Genomic DNA, 20,801 nt, shown 5'->3' with positions numbered 1-20,801 from the left:
TCTAGACAGTCATTTTACTATAGTTGCCACAAATCAATACCTTATTTTCATGTACTGCATAAAAGTTGTTATAGATGTATTTTTTAAAGTATGGATATGTGCCCATTATATGTAGTTTTTACTCTGTACTGTTATTTACAGAAAAGTACAAATAGAATATATTGTAAGTGGGAAAGGCAGAATTTCTTTTTTGTAGGTCTTTTTTGTTCAATTCAAATCAAGGAACATTTATGGAATGCTAACTCTACACAGCGTTCTTTTGTTAATAGTATTTCTTAATTTGTTATCCTTTTCCTAAGTGACAGTATTTTATCATTTTATTCGATAGGTCTATTTTAACAGAGAGATGGCTACTCTTAGATTAGTCATATGATGGATGATAATGTAATTTATTTCATTCAAGTAGGGATAGTTCGTGCATTTCTGGGAATCTCATTATCTTGAAAACTTTGCCCTATTATCTTCTTCTTTTCATGAAATTACCTCCTTAGCTTAATTACAAGTGTAGTGTTTTCCCACAGGCAATATAATATCTACTTACCCTAAATACCCCAAAGTAAAGAACACTTGGAGCATTAAGTAAAACTGATTTGTTGAGCCCAAATCGAAAACAACATTACAGCTTACTGGTTAATCAATGTAAATTTCACTAATGCCACAAGGAGTCAAATCCATTTGTAAAAGAACATGTGTGCAATCTATTTCATAAACTTGTATCATATGCAATGTTAATTTGATCTAAGGTAGTTCTGTGAGACAAAAAGAATATTACCCCAAAATGCTCTATTTAATCATTGTATAACAAGAGTTATGCCCAGTTATGGCAGGAGATGTGCACAGAGCTATGTAGAAACGTTTATTGACACAGAAAACAGCAGTTTATAAATTTGATCAGTTAGTTATTATAGCAAATTTATAGTGCACTTATCCTAAGGAAAATCTACTCATTAGTGACCACAAGAATAAGAAGTCCCCACTTTTTACCAAATTTAATTCTTGAAAATTGTTTCTAAGGTGACAACAATATTTCTCCACAGGCAGAAAATGTTACTGTGGTTACATTTCCCGATCAAATAAATATTTGGTATCAAATAAATAAAAAATATAATCAATATTATATCACAGTAGCAAAGATACAACAAATATAAACTTCTTCCTTGAGATAAAATGGTAAAATTATCCTGCCAATCATATAAAACAGCACCGATTAACTAATTACTTGCTCCTTAAGAGGTCAAAAATCCCACTCCCTGTACACATAATTCCTAACAGTGCTACTCTACTGTGTGGTTACCTAAAGTAGCATACTAGCTGAAACATGCTTTGGCTAAAATTTTACTGACATTTCTTTGGCTTAGAATTTAGGAGGATTTGGAGGGATTATATATCACTTTTCAGCGCTCCTGAAGCTGTCCATAGACATTTGAGCTGCTGCCTTCTTTTTCCTAATGTATTTTTCCTCTAGCAAGCAAAAGTGTTCATTCATAATTATTCCTTTGACCTTAAAACCGCCTCAAATAAGGTAGGCACTGGTTACTCAGTGGTTCTATTGACAGCTATGAGAGTAGTTTACACTTTACTGGGAGATCATAGGAAAAAAAAAATCACCAGGTCATTAGCACAAACTTTTTTTTTTCCTTTTTCTGTGGATGTTTGAAAGTGCTCTTGTAAACCGCAAAGATGACTGGTATCCCAGAGCACAGGTACCTGCTTCAAAATCTGTCAAAGTTTTAAGTGGATGGACAAAGGTGGTAAAAATTGAGGTTTGGGTGTTCACTGAGCCTGAACTGAGGAAAATGATACACAACGCTACAAAAAATGAGTCTCGTGACATAACCCTTAATCCATGGGTAACTTGAACCAAAAGTATTCTCCTTCTTCTGTATATTTGTTCTCAACCCCCAATTCCTCATAACTTTCTAAGTAAGTAGGGTGAAAAGAAAGTCAGGGCTGCCTAGGGAAGCTACATTTGCTTCTCAAGGCTTGCACCTGCATATTTCATGCCCGACATGTTGCTGAACACAACCGAGTAAAGTGCCAGAATAAAATCAGCTCTGTCCACGTGGTACCAGGAATGCTGCTGAAATGAAGGTAAGTATAGGATTCCACAGGATCTAAGACAGTCCAGGGAACTGGGACCAATTGTGGGAAACCTCAAAGCTGAGCATATTTGAAGAAAATGCAGAGTAAAATGGCTATGGGCTGCCGGGAGGCCTGGATTTGAGATACCAAGCACCACTGATATAAACACTGATGCTCAGAAAAAGAAATGATGAGTGTGTATTTGTGTCCCTTGAGACCTAATTTAATTTATAATTATTCACCAGAGATAAGAGGCAAGGTATGTCTACTTGCTGGATATCTGAATTTACACAGTTCTCTAGTCATTAGTATTTTTTACAAATATACCACTCAGACTAGGGGTCAGAGGATCTGGGTTTAATTCCAAGACCTGTCACTTATCTGTCATGATTTTTGTAGCTTATAAAGATCTCTACAGTTTAAACATTTTTTTTAAAAGTCTAGCACTCCCCCTCCCTGGATAACAGAATTGTTTTAAATACCAAAAGGAATGAAATACTTAAGAGTGCTTTGAAAATTAGAACAATAGGCCGGGCACAGTGGCTCACGCCTGTAATTCCAGCACTTTGGGAGGCCGAGATGGGCGGATCACGAGGTCAGGAGATCGAGACCATCCTGGCTAACAAGGTGAAACCCTGTCTCTACTAAAAATACAAAAAAAAAAAAAAAAATTAGCCAGGTGTGGTGGCAGGTGCTTGTAGTCCCAGCTACTCGGGAGGCCGAAGCAGGAGGATGGCGTGAACCTGGGAGGTGGAGCTTGCAGTGAGCCGCCACTGCACTCCAGCCTGGGAGACAGACACTCCGTCTCAAAAAAAAAAAAAAAAAGAAGAAGAAAAAGAAAGAAAGAAAATTAGAACAATAAAGAATACAGTTAGGCTTGAGGCCAGGAGTTTCAGACAGGCAACAGAGTCAGACCCTGTCTCTATAAAAAAAAAATTAATTTAAAAAAAGAAAGAGAAAGAAAGGAATATAGTCAATCAACAAGAAATGTATTGCTGACTATGTTCTCTGAAGTCAACTAGCTGATGTTCATGAGCTTTTCCATCATGTCTTGTAATCATCTATACAATTATTTAGTTAATATTTTTTCTTAAATCAACTCATTTTTCCCCTTTTGCACCCACATTACTCTTATCATAAAACATAATATTCATAAAATCAGAGGTTGATGTGTTTATCATTTTTTTTAAGCTTTTAAGAGTCAAGGTCTTGCTCTGTTGCCCAGGCTGGAGTGCAGTGGTGCGATAATAATCTCTAATTCCTGAGCTCAAACGATCTTCCTGCCTCAGCCTCCCAATAATTTAATACGTACTAAAATGAATTCATACTTATTAAAAGTTTTTAAAAGTTCTGTATATCATGCCTCAATAAACACTGCTAGGGAAGAAGAAGGCCTTAAAATGCAGGCAAGTAGCTGAGACTGAACAGGGTAAGAAACAGAAGCCATAAAAGGGTTGAACAATTGTTATTTGATCCTTTTTCAGATAGCATCACTCTCCTCTTTAAAAGTACAGTATTGATTTTTAACTTAAGGTGAGTTAGAAATTTATTTTGAAAATTCTCTTTTTCAAAAAAAAATTCTTTACAGTCACTAAAGTCATCTGGAAGTGTAGAATCTGAAGAAAAATTTTTATTTGAGGTTTAAAATTTTATCTTGGTCTGGAAACTTCTGTTTTGTCAAAGGAAGGGGTGATATTGGCACATTCTGGAGTTCAGAATTTTTCTGTAATGCGTGCTTAAAAAGCCAGATTTTAAACTTTTTACACAGCCCTACCTGTGGCTCAGCATGTTAGCATTATGATGTATTTTAAGGATGGAGTTTGAACTAAGATTATAGTGTGTGATTTTTGGCATAGGCAAACAATCCAATAAACTGAGCGTTCAAAAAAGGAAAACAAAGACCATGTAAATCTCTTCAAGCCAGAATGTCTACCTCTTGCTTCCTTGGGTAGAGCTACTGTGGTCCAAGTTTATTACCTTTAAGTTATCCCTGTCTGTACCCTCCTCAATCATGGCACAATTCTCCCTGGGCATCTAAGGCATTGGGGACCCATCATGGTAATGTTCAAAAGGTCTAGAACACCAGTCCTCCTGCTCCAGATGGGGGAAAGTAGACAAACAACAGTGAGCTCCTCCAGATCCACAAATCAGCTCCCATTTCAGTGCCGAATGACAGAGATTCCGGAACCAGCTTACGTTCTGGGAATGGCAAAGACCTCAGGTAGAAAGAACTATGTGCAACCATTTCCAAGCCAGGAGTGCAGTAACATATTGAATGGTTAGGCAGTAGAGGCAACTCTGCAGTTAATACACATTCTTTAAACTTTTATTTTAGGTTCATGAGTACATGTACAGGTTTGTAATATAGGTAAATTGTGTGTCACAGAGGTTTGGTATACAGATTTCACCACCCAGATAACTAAGTATAGTACCTGATAGGTAGTTTTTAGATCCTCACCCTTCTCCCATCCTTCACCCTCAAGTAGGCCCCAGTGTCTCTTGTTCTCATCTTTGTGTCCAAGTGCACTCAATGTTTAGCTACTACTTATAAGTGAGAACATGTGGTATTTGGTTTTCTGTTCCTGAGTTGGTTTGCTTAGGATAATGACCTCCATGTCCATCCATGTTGCCACAAAGGACATGATCTCATTATTTTTTATAGCTGCATAGCATTCCATGGTGTACATGTACCACATTTTCTTTACCCAGTCTACCGTTGATGGGAATTTAGGTTGATTCCATGCCTTTACTATTGTGAATACTGCTGTGATGAACACACGTGTGCATGTGTCTTTATGGCAGAATAATTTCTATTCCTTTGGATATGTACCCAATAATGGGATTGCTGGGTCAAATGATAATTCTGTTTTAAGTTGTTTGAGAAATTGCCAAACTACTTTCCACAATGGCAGAACTGATTTACATTCCCATCAGCAGTATATAAGCACTCCCTTTTCTCTGCAGCCTCACTAGCATCATACACAGTTTTCTTTATTGAAAATATTTTTGGAGCTTTTGATATACCCACAGGCACTGTAAATCAACAAAAGGGGCACTCTGTCCTCAATTACATCATTCTTCAAAATTTTTTAACCACGTGGTGCTTTTTTAGGAGCATGTGAGGAGAATAACATCCCAGGAGAGTCCTACTCTAAAAAGATACTGCTGTTTGGGACAATATAGATATAATGCAATATCATATAGGAAGTTGTCTTTTTGTATATTTTTAAAACATGTTACTTTTGTGCTTTGGAGTTGCCCTAAATAAATATGTTGTAAACCTTTGTGAGTATCTGCTTATTCGGCTTAATAACCCTTTTGTGGCTTTTGAATAATGTAAGAATTTGATTCATTATTTAGAAATCTGAGTTGCTGCAGCAATGAACCAGATATTACATTTAATCGAGACTGCCAATACTGCACAGATTGCCAGCCTCACAGGACATCAGACCTAACTGAACTTTCCTGCTAGTTTTAGAAAAAAAGACAGAAAAATAATTCACTTCCAAAAGTTAGAGAAAACACTTTGCCAATTACTAGTGACCCTTGATGTGACTTTTAATTTATAGAAAGGCCCAGATTAATTGTTTTCAAACCAAAAGCTATGACTCTTAGCTAGCACTTTAATTTTACACAAATCTTCTCCTCCATCTTGACTGTGAGATCGTACCTATAGAGTGATAAGCCTTCTAATGATGCCTGGCATAGTGTCAGCTTTTGAAGCCATATACTGTGTATGTTTTGGAACTAAATATTTCTTCTTTCCATTGACTCTTGACCCCCTTAGAACAACTGTCACCTTCTTCAAATGCTTTCACTAAGTAAAAAGTCAATTGGCTGTAAGTGGTGATGAAGAAAATGTCGTGTGATTAATGCTACAGTTTAGGCTGTTGTGATTAGTCACAGGAAAAACAGTTAAACTTCCTCCCCCAAGAAACATGGTATGTTAACGGCAAATGGCCTGCCTCAAGCCCAATAGGAAGAAATAGTTGGGCAGTGTTAAAAGCTGCCTATTGATTTGTGCCCCGACTGAAAGCCATGTGCTGATGTAAATGAAAATGTGTCAAGAGTTGATATCGATTTTTTTTTTAAATCAGACCATCTCTGGGGAAATACTGCTAGCCATACTACTGCTCGTCTATGAGTGAAATAAGGTTCCTTTCCACAAGACTACACATGTCCAGACATCAAATTTTTCTCTTTAACCGAGGTGTGGTAGGATGCCTCTCTATCGTCTGCAATCTCTGCGTGGAGAACGTGACCCAGAGACTATAAAGATTGTCTTGATGAAAGACATGTATGTGGGGAAGGGTGTGAGCTCATGCCACCTATCTACACATTGGTCTGTTTGTGTATGGTTCGTAACACACATGTAGGCTTCAGCTAGGAATTGTCATCCTATGTCTCCTAGAATAAATCATTGTAGAAGAATAAATTTATTTTTAGAAAATTCTATCCAGAGAGAACCACAATATAGGATAAAAGGTAAAACATATTAGAATATGAACCATGAAGTTGGGGTCTTTCTTTTCCTTCAGACTGTAGGAAAACTAGCCACATTTTTTTCCATTTCTTAGGAGTTATTCCCTGAGCTGTACCTTATTCATAGACTGCAGTGCTTGTAAATATTGACTAACTATATATGAAAAGGCCAAGAGTCATAATAATCATGCAGCTTTGGGTCATATCTGTGGGGATTTCAGCTGCCTAGGTAAGGCTGCACTCCTGATTCAGCTGGGATAAAGCATGGACGCTAATATTAGGCTATTAGAATGGAAAATTAGTGTGGAAGAGGAGAGGGGTCATCACCTAGCAATATATGTGGATTATTTGGAATCAACTACTGGGATTAGAGAAAATCCTAATAAACTAATAAGGGATATGGTCTTTCCCTCCATGCTAGCTTAGAGAGCTGAATCCACTTAGTTTGATTTATTGGCCTTAGGTACAGACACATGATGAAAACTTCACTTTGCAAATTGATTAACTTTTTGTTGATTACTCAATGACTTTTGCAGTACTCTAAATTTTATGATCTGTGTGCCTTGTGCTCCAGATTAAAGGAAAAACAATGATCTGAAATAGACCTTAGGGAATAGGAATTACTATGATGAGACAATTTTATACTGAAAGTTCTGCATTAAAATTTAGGAATCTGTAACAAAAACTTTCAGAAGACAGTTTGTTACTAGTAACTGGGAAGACAAATGAGGTCTTACAAATGATCTAAGTAGATGGAACTTTTCAATTAGGGCTGCTGCCTTAAAATCCTTAAAATTAACTTGTACTTCTTAAAACAGGTGTAGCTTGCTGGCCCTGTAATTTGACTAACAAGCTAAGGCTTATGGCTGACCCTCTAGTGTATTCCTAAGGTGGCTATTTTCTGCAGCATGGAAGAGCAGCCCTTTCTGCAACATGGAAGACTAGCGCTGACTCAGAGATCTTTGCCTATCTATCAGGAGTTCTAGACCAGCTCTTGACTGCTCCACCTCACATCATTTCTTGTATTGTTATTTAACTTCGGGTATATATTTATTATCTCCAACAGGACATTAAACTCAATAAAAACATGCATTATAGTTCATTGTGTTGGCACCAGTGCATAAATTCATAACTGCTCAAGGAAAAAATACACAAATATATGTACATACATGTACACATATATGTGTGTATGTACATATTTTTAATGCAAGATGAGCTAGCCTTCCTATGACATTAAATTATTTAATCACTTTTTACACTGAAATCAAAAAAATACACACCAATGGCTTTACACAGTTATTTATTCTAAGATGAATGCAAATTACCTCAGAAGATATTATCCAGAATAACAATAAATGTTTATTCTTTCTTCTTACGGTTTATATAGCTGCTTAATATGCCCATTCATCAAGTATTTCCTAGTTGTCTTTCACGCTCAAGCATATAAATATATAATTTCAAATATATAATCATTTTCAAATATATAATTTAATATTATATATTAAAATATATATTTGATAGTGATAAATATATACATATCATACATATATATGTACTTGAGGAAAAATAATTTGAGAGTGGCCATAAAGTCTGAAAATATAGACAATATTAATTTATCATCTATATTTAATATAATATTAATACATTATTTGTTATATGTTTTGTTTCCAGGTTTGGTGACCACTCAGTGTTTGCAAATATATTGTAAAGGTATATACATTTAACAAATTAACTGATCTTCTGATTTTAACTTCAGTTACCAGGTTGAAGGTTTTTCTTTACTTGCTTTTTTTGTTTTAAATAAAAGAAAGCAAATGATTTTAGGAAGAGAATTGTCACAGCCAAAAACTTCCAGGTTAAGCAAAAGATCATAATAACTTTATCTTACCAACTACCTTGAATGTTCTAAAGTATGTTCTTCACTCGCTTAGTAAAACGTCTGAATTAGAAAGCTTATATTACCATTTAATTCCCAGCCTTTCCTTTCTGGGGCCACCCTCACTTTTCCAAGTACTATACTAGTGAAAGAAGTAGAGAAGTAAATGTCTGTACATGAGTCATGCATTTGTCTTTTGATTGTAGAGAAGAAAAAGAAAATACATATCTACACATATAAACCTAAAAATAAGAATGAATTATTTGCCAGCCCACAAAATTTTTCACTACTCCATTTTTGTCCTTTAGGGGTAGAGTTAGTTAAAAATCTGTTTTTTAAATTTTGGTTTGGAATTAATAGGCTGAGATGGGAAACCAGAAAATAATGAGAATATATACTATACTTTGATTTTTTTTAAAAAAGGAAAGAATAAGGAAGTAGAGCTCAGGAAAATTACCTTCTTTTCTCATTCCCTAAATCTTCTATCCCCAAAATAATTTTGATTACTTCAATTCAAAGTGCTCATATTTTCCAGAGCACAAAATAGACTCCAAATATAGTTCTATACAGAATTTTATATATTTATGCCACAACATTTGACAATCATAGAAAAATATAAGAAATATGCAACACGGAATTCTTATAATTGGAACATATTTGAAAGCATGGAAACAAACATAAATTACAATATACAATATAAAGGATGCTAAATACCCAATATTTCCTTCCCTGGTAATAATGCTTTTGTTTTAATATGTTTTAATGTTCCTAGGAAAAGTTGTTAAACAAGTTTTGCATTTTGCATATCTTAGAACAGTAAATGAAATATACCCTAATAAGTTACCTTTTTTCATAAGTATATCCACATAGGACCAAGCCTTTTAATGAATTCCTTTAACTGGTAATATATTAGTATTTACAATTTAAAAGCTTTATTCTGTATATTCTGTTGAATAAGGTTAAACAACCTAATATCCAATTATATATATGTATAGAGATACATATTTCATATCTATAAATAATTATCTATTAATTGATGGAATAATTCAGGTGGCAAAAATTTTAAACATTTTGTTTTGTATTACTCAGGAAGAAAAGTAATCAGGAAACTAGAGGAAGCTCTTTTTTTCCCCTTTTTATTACACCAAAGAAATTGAGTGCAATGAAGCACATTATTCCTTTCTTTATCAGGTGCATATTTACATTTGCATTTCTAAATTATTTACCATAAATACATTTTTAACACTAGAAAACCTTAAAATAATAAAGTTCCATTTTTCAGGCTTTGTACAAACATGCAAATGTTAATATGACTAAGGAATATACTTTAAATTACAGAGCATTTTTATTCATTATTCTATTACCCCTGCTGTGATAGTCAGGCCTCCCACCTATGGAATATTAGAGAGCCCCCTAGTGGCACTTATATGCCTATTAAATTTCCAAACGAAGAATAAAGTTAGTTACTTTCCTTACTAACTGCTAGGACCAGTTTTGATACCTAAACATATTTGGTTGACTTTTTTCCCCAATTTTTAAACCCAAGTTGACTTCCCTTTATGTACCACACAAATTGTGCACGTTTATGGCATCAAAAATGTAATAATAACATCATCTCTGGTTATTCAAATGCTCAGTTGCTAAACATCTCTCTTCATTTTTTCTCACCTGGTAACCTTTCCAGTCATCTCAGAAATCATTTGGAGATTCACTGTGAAAAACATTTTTATGGGGAAAAAAAGTCCTACGTTAACTGGTAAAAGCGTACACTTACCCAAATAGATGTTATTTTAATGTTATTGCAGTAAAGAGGCATGTCTTCATTATACTTTCATGTAGCCGGATGAAAAGATATACAAAATGATACCTAAGATGCATTATCACTGAGGCAGCCATCTAACATGTTTGGAACTTTTTAACATTACACTAGTTTATGGTCAAGATTTGATGACGGGCTCAAGGGTGATGTTCCCTTGGACTAGTGAACAATTTGCAGTATTTTTGATGCTTTTTCCACTGGATACCCACAAAGCCTCTGCCCTTGCCTAAAATTATCCTTCTTAATAGGTGAGTGAACGCTTCCTGAAGGTTTAAAATACATCCATGGAATCTTAAAAGGTAAGGTGAAGGTAGTCTTACAAATGCTGGAAAAGAATGTTCTGCACAGTGAAAATAACTTCAACAGGAATATGGAGATGAAACTAGCATGAATATGCCCCAGGAACTATACTGTAAATGATTAGTATCATTGAAATACAGAGTGAGAGGTAGGAGCATAGGACAGGAGACGTATCCAGAGATGTAACAGGGACCAACTACACTATGGAAGGCTTTGGGGACTACAGTAAGGGTTTTAATTTATCCTAAATACTAGTAGAAAATATTGTAAGATAAACCAGGTTTCTGCTTTAGGAAATCAGTCTGGGAATAGACGTGAGGATAAATTAGAGGGGGAATAAGATTCCAAGTCAGAGTGAACATTTGGTCCAAGCAGGAAATGATGAGAGCTGGTAGAGAAAGTTGTCAAAAGTGCCTCTACAGTAAAGTGAGGTCATTTTTGGGCTACTGATGCCCTGGACAACAGTAGAATTAACTGGAGTCTCAGCAAAGGCCTTAGCACCACCCTGCTTCAGTTAAATCGCCTATCAGTGTTGTCTTCTTTGGTTATTTGCCCCTTATCCTTGGTAATTCTGCTGCCTCCCTCCCTCTCCCATATTCATGTGAGCATCTTGTAGCCATCAGCCCTGAAGAAAGGCATGGGTTGTGTAGTTTGAACTTCACTAGTTTGACGGGTATGAAGCAAAGAAAAGAATAACTGGTTGAAAGGTAGGATTTTGGAACATGCAGAGTGGTTAGATGCTAGATGTTGGGCATAAGGGACAGGAAGAAGGCCAGAATGGCTCCAGGGTCTCTGTCATTGCAACTGGGAAGATGGAAGCACTAATCACTGTTTATACAGCCAATGAAAGAGGAGGGCCAAAAGTGAAGTGTATTTGCTTTCTATGCTGTGTTACAAATTCTCACGAAGTTAGCAGCTTAAAACAACATGCATTTATTACCTCATCAATCCTATGGGGCATGAGTTTGGGCATGGCTTAGCTGAGTTCCCTGCTTCAGAGTCTCACAAGACTGCCATCAAGGTGTCACCTACGGCTTGGTTCTCATCTGGAGACTAAACTAAGGGAAGGAGATGTGCTTCCCTGCATGTGGTTGTTGACAGCATTCAGTTTCTAGCAGCTGAAGGTTCATGACAGCTTCCTCCTTCAAAGCCAGCAACAGAGATAGAGAGTCCACAGTAAGCCTACTAGAAGGACCATCTTATGTCATGTATAAAAATCACAACGGTGACATTGCATCACCTTTGCTATGTGGGCTAGACACAAGTCACAGGTTCTGCCCATACTCACGGGGAGGAGATTATACAAAAGCATGAATATCAGGGACCAGGGATCATGACAGCCACCCTGTCTATCATAGGAGTACTTTTATAATGTTTACAAAATGTGAAATTACTGAGTGTTTTTACCTCCAACTATTGCTGTAAGGAAATTATATTATACCATAACTTGGATCGTTATTATATAGGCTTAGGATTATTAGAATAAATGTCCCAAGAATAGCTACCATATAGGAGGAAAAAAAGGAATAACTCCATTCTTTCTGATCTTTACCCCCCATTCAGAAGGGTTCCTACATTTCTAACAGGAATTTGTTCTTCAGTGTCTCACATACCTCTGAGAAATCTCAGTTTATGGTTTGGAAACTATCAAAGAGCAAACTCCAAGAATACCTAAAACTAAATAACACTATAACATTGGATTGTTGCTGGTTGCTTTCCTATCCACTGTGAAGTTTGACTTGTTGTAAATATTTAGGGAAGTATCAAAACTAACTTTAAATTATTTCCTTGTGCACCTCTTCTTGAACTCCCCCAAATAAGTCAAGATTTTTTAAAAACTAGGGCAGTCCTAAAATGGCATATATTATATCCAGTCGTCTTCTAAGTCCTAACAACTTTTTCTTTAAAATATTAATACTGGCTCTACCTCATCCCCTTTTTTCTATTTACACAACTTCTCAACACTGGTGCAAGCTGTTACTGTCTTATGTCTGGATAAATCAGCATCACCATCCTATTTGGTATCCTTACTCTACTTTTCCCTTCCCTCTTCTGTCAGAGCTATTCAAGATTGAATTTTTATTATATATAAACAGCTTTGAACATGCAGTTTCTTTTTTCAGTCCTGCATGCTGGTGCTCTATTTGCTATACTACCATCTACATGCCCATGTCTGCTTTTTTAGAAGGTCTATTATCTAATGTACCTGCCTATTCAATTATATTCCCATTCTTAACACAAATCATATTTTCTCTTCCAAATAATTTCCTCTTGGCCTCTATACAAAGCAGGCTTGTTTTCGTTTTTTTTGTCTGCTCAGATTTTAGTTCCAGCTTGGGTTGTCCATGCATCTGTCATCATGTCTGCCCTAAGTCATGATGAATAGATACTGCACAATGGGGAGCCCAGGTAAAGAGTAAGAGGAAACCAGATGTATAGAAAAGAAAAGGAGAAAGATGAGATGAACCCATAACAGAACTCAGAAGGCAAAGCCCATGGCAGAGCCAGAAGGTTGGAAGAAGGTAGGCGAAATGAACAGTAATATCATCAGATTCTAGAAGTCAAAACCAATCCAAGCCTGGTAGGTAAGCCAGGACAAATGTAAATATCAAGGGTGGAGACAAGCAAAGAGGGGCAGACAGAAAACATCCAGACACACACACACACACACACACACACACACACACACACACACACAAACAAACAAACAAAAAAGATACAAGGTCATTCTCAGGCCTTATAGGGATGAATGAGCAAAGAGAACAGGCAGGTGCATATTCATCAGGAGCAGCTTGATTAGAGAGGCCACATTCATCCTGAAAGCCAGGTTCTTTAACAACCCAGTGTACTTCCTGTTCAGGCAGACTGGTGCATGTGGAGGATTACGGTCTTTGAAGCCAGTCAGACATGGGTTCAAATTCCTCTTCCACCATTTGTTAACTGTGTGGCCTTGGACTTGTTATTGAACTTCCACAATCCTGACTTCACTAATCTGTAACATGTGGATCATTCTACCAGTCTCATGGAGTTATAAGAATTAAATGTGATTACATATACTATATGAAATGCCTGACATCGGCCAGGTGCAGTGACTCACACCTATAATCCCAGCACTTTGAGAGGCCAAGGTGGGTGGATCACCTGAGGTCAGGAGTTCGAGACCAGCCTGGCCAACATGGTGAAACCCCATCTCTACTGAAAATACAAAATTAGCAGGGTATAGTGGTATGTGCCTGTAATCCTACTACTTGGGAGGCTGAGGCAGTTGAATCGCTTGAACCCCAGGAGGCAGAGGTTGCAGTAAGCCGAGATCGCACCATTGCACTCCAGCCTGGGCAAAAAGAGTGAAACTCCTTCTCAAAAAAAAAAAAACAAAATAAATAAATAAATAAATAAATAAGCCTGACATCTGGCAAGTATACAACATATATGTTGATTTTTATCATTTTATTTTTATTTCTATTTTTCTGTCTGCCAAAACCAAAATGGCTGCCAACTTGTAGCTATCCTTTTATAAGGTCTGCATGACTTTCTCTAACCTCTTGTGATCCATAAAACCTGCCTCATACATTGTGCCACTTACCACAGAGTGTTCTTTAGGTGTGCTAAGTTTCAGGTTATTCAAGCTAATTTCTTCAATGATATTAAAAGCTCCTTGGGGAGAGATTTCCCAGTGCTGAGCTCATCATATTCAGCCTACACTTGAGATTACAATGCATTTCAAGGCCCCGCTTCATTCACCCATTCAGCAGCTATGTATTCAACACCATGTGTGATGTACTGGGGATGAGACAACAAAGAAGACAAGCTCAGCTTCCTAGAGGTAGGCATGGGTTATGTCACTAAAGTAAGGGCACTGTCATCTTAAAAATGGAAGGACCCTAAGAGATTATCTAGCCCAGCTCTTTACTTTTACAAAGATGCAACTGAGAATCACAGAAATGACAGTGGCATATAATTTCTTCTCCACTGACCTCTTTTTGGCCTGTTGAATCACTGTCATTTGGAAAAACGAAGAGATAAAAGTCTAGGATGTTTTAACTGAGTGAGAGTTTGAGAGTGGTTTTGCCTTCTGCCATGTCACTGTAAAAGAGGCCACTTATCTCAGACAGCATTGCCAGCAAATGTCCATGGCATAGCCTCCTGCAAGTCTCTACCAGAAAACATAAGAGTTCTCTGTGGCTGCTATGCTCTGACCTCTTTGCTTGTTCCCCAGTGTGAGAAAAATAAAAAAATCATCATAGGAAGAAACACAGGTAATTCAGGAAACATGCAAAGATACTTTCGCTTTCTTTGTTGGGAAAGGCCAAAACATGGTGGCTTCTTCCAGCAATCATTCCAGACCACTGCTTAGTACATTTTTTTTTTTGAGATGGAGTCTCGCTCTGTCACCCAGGCTGGGTGCAGTGGCGCAATCTCGGCTCACAGCAAGCTCTGCCTCCCGGGTTCATGCCATTCTCCTGCCTCAGCCTCCGGAGTAGCTGGGACTACAGGTGCCCACCACGATGCCCAGCTAATTTTCTGTATTTTTTTTTTTTAGTAGAGATGGGGTTTCACCATGTTAGCCAGGATGGTCTCGCTCTCCTGACCTGGTGATCTGCCCGCCTCGGCTTCCCAAAGTGCTGGGATTACAGGCATGAGCCACTGCACCCAGCCACTGCTTAGTACATTTAAAATGACACATCTAAGCATTTGTATGTAGGGATGCATTTGAATCAATAATATGAGACTGGCATCTGAAGACTCAGTGGCTTTAATCAAACTGTTTGCTCAACATCCTTCAATACTTGATCCACAAACTTATTTCAAAATTAGAATGTCAAGGTGAAGATTAACACCTCCAGTTCAGTGGGGCTAATGAGACATGACTTATTAATCCTACAAGAAAATCTTAATTAGGCACTGGGGCACTGCTTGTTTCATTGTTAAATACTACCCAATCCCCAAAGAATTGGAAAATAAATAGGGACTAAAATAGAAAGGAGTGTTATAATTAGGCCCCCTGAAATGAAAGAAATAGTTTTTTTCTCCCCACAGAAAGTATTTGTCACTTTTTTCCCTAAATTACCCAGTATTAGCATTTGTAATAAAAGTTTGATACAAACATTCTTGAAATAGCTAGACATGTGAACACCAGAGAACAGTGAGAGTCTGATGCACCAGAACTCTGCTAAGAGGGCAATTGTACTGCTGAGTTTCAGCTGCAGCAAAATTCACGTCACCGTCCAGGTTAATTAGCAAGATAACTTCATTATTATTTACTTCTTGTTCATTTAATAGGCTCTTCCATTAAGATACACTCATTTTTAACACTAAGGATTTCGTGATGCAAGTTGAAAAGGAATTGCTTCACTTTATTTCGTTGGCATTTTTTTGCAAACTATCCATAGTACCCAAAAAGGAAATGGGAGAAGGGAGGGCTGCAGCACAAGGGAATAGCAGACATTTACCCAAGCTTCCTAAAACTGAAAAGCTGGAACATAGCATACCCATAGTAACACTCATGACCAACAAGTTTTCCATAACATTTGGTGTTCTAAAATTTGTTTTCATCAGTGGATTAAAGATAAGTGCAGAAAAGAAGAAAGAAGGACAGAGAAGAGGGAGGAGGGAGGAGGGGGTAGGGAAAGTGGGAGAGAATCTTTGTGACATTCATTTACTACTTCAGAATAAGTCACCTTGTTAAGTTACAGCCAGAAAAAAATATCACTGGCATTCGAGACACAATTTGTTACAAAGTATACTAATAAACCAGATTGCCAAATTATGTCAGTCACATCTAAATAACAACAAGCAAATTGCCTTACACAGACGGAGAATGTGTAAGGTGCATAGATTTCCTGTGAGGCAACCTCAACTAAGACTTATTGATTAATGTTATCCTACTTGTTTATTCTGTTTAAAAGCACGGACTGCATTATTTTCGCCTTCCATTAAAGCCTAAGCCCCACATTTCAAAATCTTCAAGCTTTAAATAAAGTTTCCTTATCTTTGGCAGAGGGTTCATGGCCACATGTACAGGGTTCTCAAAGAAATGTCAGTGACTACCTCCCCAACGCCAGAGCTTCAGAAATGCAAGAGTACCCCCAACTAAAGTTTTGGGAAGCCAGTTTAACAATTATTCCGATTATTGTTATATTAGATAAAGCTATTAAAAGAAACGTTTTCTTTCCATGTGTACTAAACCATCAAAATTGTGTTTGAAGAGAATAAAGAATAAGAAATTATCTGGGGAGACTGAGATCATGAGATTGCCCAACGGCTTCTCCGTTCAGTGGCCACAAATTATACCCCTTGCCTCAGCATAATGAATCTGTGCTCTTATCCAATACAATTAATAATGAGAAGCAATCAGAGAAGCAATCATAATATTTGAAAATAATATAGAAGACACATACAGCTCCAACATTTCTTAGCTATGTGACGTTTGATCAGTTTAAGTTAACTTCTTTGAGTCTTTGGCTCCACATTTCAAAGTGGAAGCGCTAATAAAAACTAATAAGTTTGCTTTGAAAATTTGATGATATAGAATACATAAGACAGGTGCTCTGTAAAATATCAAGCAACAAATAAATGTATGAAAGGGACCAGGACACGAAAGGATAGGGGATCAATGAAAATCCATCACTGATAATTAGGAAAATTATTGAAAACACATATATACTCTTTTCTGCACAGAAAAATGCCAGCAAGATCAGCACTGACCAACTTGGAGAGGGTCATTCAAAAAGGAAGGAAAGGTGTAATTAACTATTGTGAATCCACATATGCCTAGATGCCATTGCCAGAAAAACTGTTAAATGGCTAATTTAATGGTTGGCTGAAATTCTGTTTTAAATATAGCTCCCCATTGCTTCCCAACTGTCCTTCCCCTCTCTACATGGTAGAATGAAAATACTACTATTCTGAGAATCAGGGGCTATGTAGCCTAGTTTGAGTTCACCAGATGTGTTTACTTTGCACTGATCATTTATTCATTCATTCATTCAGCCAATGTTTACTGACCTCTTAAGTATCAGGTCCTGTACTTACCACAGGAGACAGAGCAGTATACTTCTCACGTGCCTTCCTATCTAGCAGGGGTCTCTTAACTTCTCCAGCCTCAGCTCCTTCATCTGTAAGAAGAGGGAAATGAGCGCAGTGCTCTCTGCAGTATCTTCCAGCCCTAATGTTCTTAGTGTTGATTCTCTCTGAAGATTTTTGTTCTTTATCCTTCTCTAAGGACCTACAAAATCTTGCTGAGTCTTTCCCTATTCATTAAATTATGAAATGTTGAGTCTGTATATATATTTACATACATGAATATGTATATATATACACACATATCTGTATATAGCCTATAACCTATTTTCTAAATAGAATTCTTCCCTTCAATTTATGTATTGCACATTTTTGAGAGTTATTGAGGGAAGTCACTGTGCTATTTGTGAAGGCATATGCAGATAGGTGTATCAAATAGTCCCTATCTTCTAAGTACTTATAACGTAATAGATGAGACAAGATAAATATACAATAAATACACATCAGAATCCTTCCTTTAGAAGAAATCCCTTTCCATTAGTGGGATCAGAGGAGGTTTCTTCCAGTCAGTGAAGCTAAAGTGAGCTTGGAGGAGAGGATAAGATATTGATAAGAAAAATTAAAAAAAAAAAAAAAGAGAAGATCATCCAGGAAATAGTATAGGCAGAAGAAAAGAATAAGAAAGCACAGAATCTCTGAAAAAATACTGGCCATGGTGGACATTTCATATGTGGGATGTGAGAGTTGAGACAAGTAGAGGAGATTACAGCCAGATGTGAATTACAGCACAAAATTCAGGTGCTGGGATTTTATGCTGTAGGCTAGCACATCCCAGTAGAGTATAATACAAGCCACAAATGCAAACCACGTAGGTAATTTACAATTTTAGAGGCCTCATTAGAAAAAGTAAAAAGAAACGGGAAATTAATTTCAGTGATAAATTTTCTTTACCCAATATAGGCATCACAACATAAAATCAATATATTTGACATTCTTTTTTTCATACTATGTCTTTGAAATCCAGTGGACATTTAACACTTTTGGTACATCTCAAGCTGTGCTCATGGCTAGGGGCTAGTGACTACCATATTAGACCATGCAGTTCTAGGCTATGGAAAGTTATTACGGGGTTTTAGAGGGAGAGTTGTTTAGTAAAAGCAACTTTTAGGCAGCTGAATGAGGCTTTTGTATGTAGATGTGTATCAGATTGTAAGGATGTTATAGCACAGGACAGAGAGATGAACCTGTTGAAATCATCTGGTTTTGAAGCATGGTGGTCGACTCACAGGTTATGAAAACTTGGGAGAAACATTGAGGCTACACAATCCAATTAAAGAGAAAGTAGTGAGCAATATGCTGACTCATACATTTAAAAAAATAGAACTATTCTTTTGCATAGAACTCTTTTTTGCACCTGATTATTTTGTTTATCTCACTGGGCCTGAGCCACATTAGGTTCACTCAATTCCACAAACAAGGATCAAACATCTAATAATGAACTGCACCAGGCTTTGGGGATTCATAGACGTACAGGCCATTGTTCTTAATGTCAGTAACTTAATGTCATGGCAATTACACAACAGAGGGCAAAAGCTATTTTGAAGCCTTTGGAAACACAAAATAGGAACTATCCAATTCTGCCTGGAAAAATCAAGAAATGGGGCAAGTGACACCTGAGCTGAATATTGAATGATAACTACAATTTCTACAGGTGGAAATGGAAGAACGGGCATCATGCAGGGAAGGAAGAACAATGCTGGAAATTTGGAAAGTACCTGGCATGTCTGGGCAACAATAAATATCTTCCAAATTTAGGGTCTGTGTGGACATTTATCAGAAATGAAGCCAGAAAGGCAATTAAGGGTGAATTGGAGGAAGAGGGAGGTCAACATGTAGCTAAATGCAAAGTGGCTCCACTTTGCCGCAGAGACCTAGAGCCTCATCAAGGAAAGAGGGCACTTCCAGAGCCCACAGGTGAGCACTGAAGAACATGGCTTTAACCTGAGAAAAGACAGAGAGGAGTCAGCTTCTGTGAGAGTTATGTGAAGACAATAGTTTACAGATTACAACCCAGAACACTGACTTGGTGTCAGATATAATGATCTGCCTTTTCACCGAAAAGTATTTGACATTTCACTAAATTGACCTTTGCTTGCCAATAGCAAACTCAATTGCATTATCTTCTCTGTTCAAAGTTTAATAGTATAGTCATAGGCACAATGTATCTCTTGAAGGTGAGCTTTTGTTGTTTGGCATTCTGTGTTCCCCGAACAAAAAGCTTCAAGAAAAAATCACTAGTTTTGTTTTTTCTTAAAGCTACAGGTGATAGGGAAATATGCCTGCATTAGTTTTCTATTGCTGCATAACAAATGCCCACCACCATGGAAACTTAACATCCATTTATTAGCAGATAGTTCTTTAGGTCAGAAATCCAGGTAGGCTCAACTGGATTCTCTGCTGAGCATCTCACAAGGCTGAAATCAAGCTGTCAGGTGGATTGTGCTCTCGTCTGGAGATGACTCTCGGGAAGAATCTGCTTCCAAGTTCATTCTTGTGGTTGGCAGAATCCAATTCCTTGTGGTTGTAGGAATGAGGTCCCGGTTTTCTTGCTGGCTATTGACTAGGGGTCACAGCTCCTAGAGGCTGCTTTCCAAATCCTTGCATCTTCAAACTAGCAACACTATGTTAATCCTTCTCTTGCTTGGAATCTAATCACTCCTTCTGCTACTTGCTAGAGAAAATACTCTGCTGTTAAAGGGCTTATCTGATTAAATTAGACCCACCTGAGTGATCTCCCTATCTTAAGTTCAGCTGATTAGTAACATTAATTACAATCTGCAAAATCTTTTGCCTTGTAAATGTACTGCAATAATAGTAGTAACACCAAGACAAAGGTTATGGGAGCCATGTACAATTCCACACTGCCTTTAATAGCATGTCAGAGTAACTTTCAAATAGAACCGTTTTTTTTCCTGTAAACTGAAAGAAGCATTTGTTGCTAAAAATGAAACAAAAACAAAATAAAATCTTTGAATGTCCATAAAAGAACAGATATAGAAGTTTTTCCTCTAAGTGGCTGATTAAATGGGGGGGGGGGCAATGAATTTATATGAATTTAAGAGAAAATGAATAAAATAAAAGCAATTTTTATTTCTGATAGTATGGTAGAATAGGTACCCTATATCATTTATATCACCCTCACTGTTGAAATAACTAAAATAT

The 20,801-nt window shown here is 37.0% G+C and overlaps 1 protein-coding gene and 1 long non-coding RNA gene across 12 annotated transcripts in view; one reads left to right on the top strand and one right to left on the bottom strand.

The window, feature by feature from the left end:
- The window catches only part of HDAC2-AS2 (HDAC2 and HS3ST5 antisense RNA 2), a 371,029-nt gene that overhangs the window by 234,119 nt on the left and 116,109 nt on the right, over positions 1–20,801 (bottom strand). Inside the window, exon 5 of the long non-coding RNA NR_125845.1 lies at positions 17,592–17,674. This is a non-coding gene — a long non-coding RNA (HDAC2 and HS3ST5 antisense RNA 2). The remainder of the gene's footprint in view (positions 1–17,591; positions 17,675–20,801) is intronic.
- HS3ST5 (heparan sulfate-glucosamine 3-sulfotransferase 5) overlaps positions 1–20,801 on the top strand; it is a 287,428-nt gene that overhangs the window by 236,413 nt on the left and 30,214 nt on the right. The window contains exons 4-5 of one of the 11 annotated variants that reach the window (NM_001387044.1): positions 8,236–8,274; positions 10,508–10,558. The exons of the other annotated variants lie outside the window; for them this stretch is intronic. The gene's annotated coding sequence lies outside the window, so the exon portion shown is untranslated. The remainder of the gene's footprint in view (positions 1–8,235; positions 8,275–10,507; positions 10,559–20,801) is intronic. 11 annotated transcript variants of the gene reach the window in all.

This window comes from Homo sapiens, chromosome 6, assembly GCF_000001405.40.
Source record: "Homo sapiens chromosome 6, GRCh38.p14 Primary Assembly".
Classification (NCBI taxonomy): Eukaryota; Metazoa; Chordata; class Mammalia; order Primates; family Hominidae; genus Homo; species Homo sapiens.
This window is presented reverse-complemented; position numbering and strand designations above follow the sequence as displayed.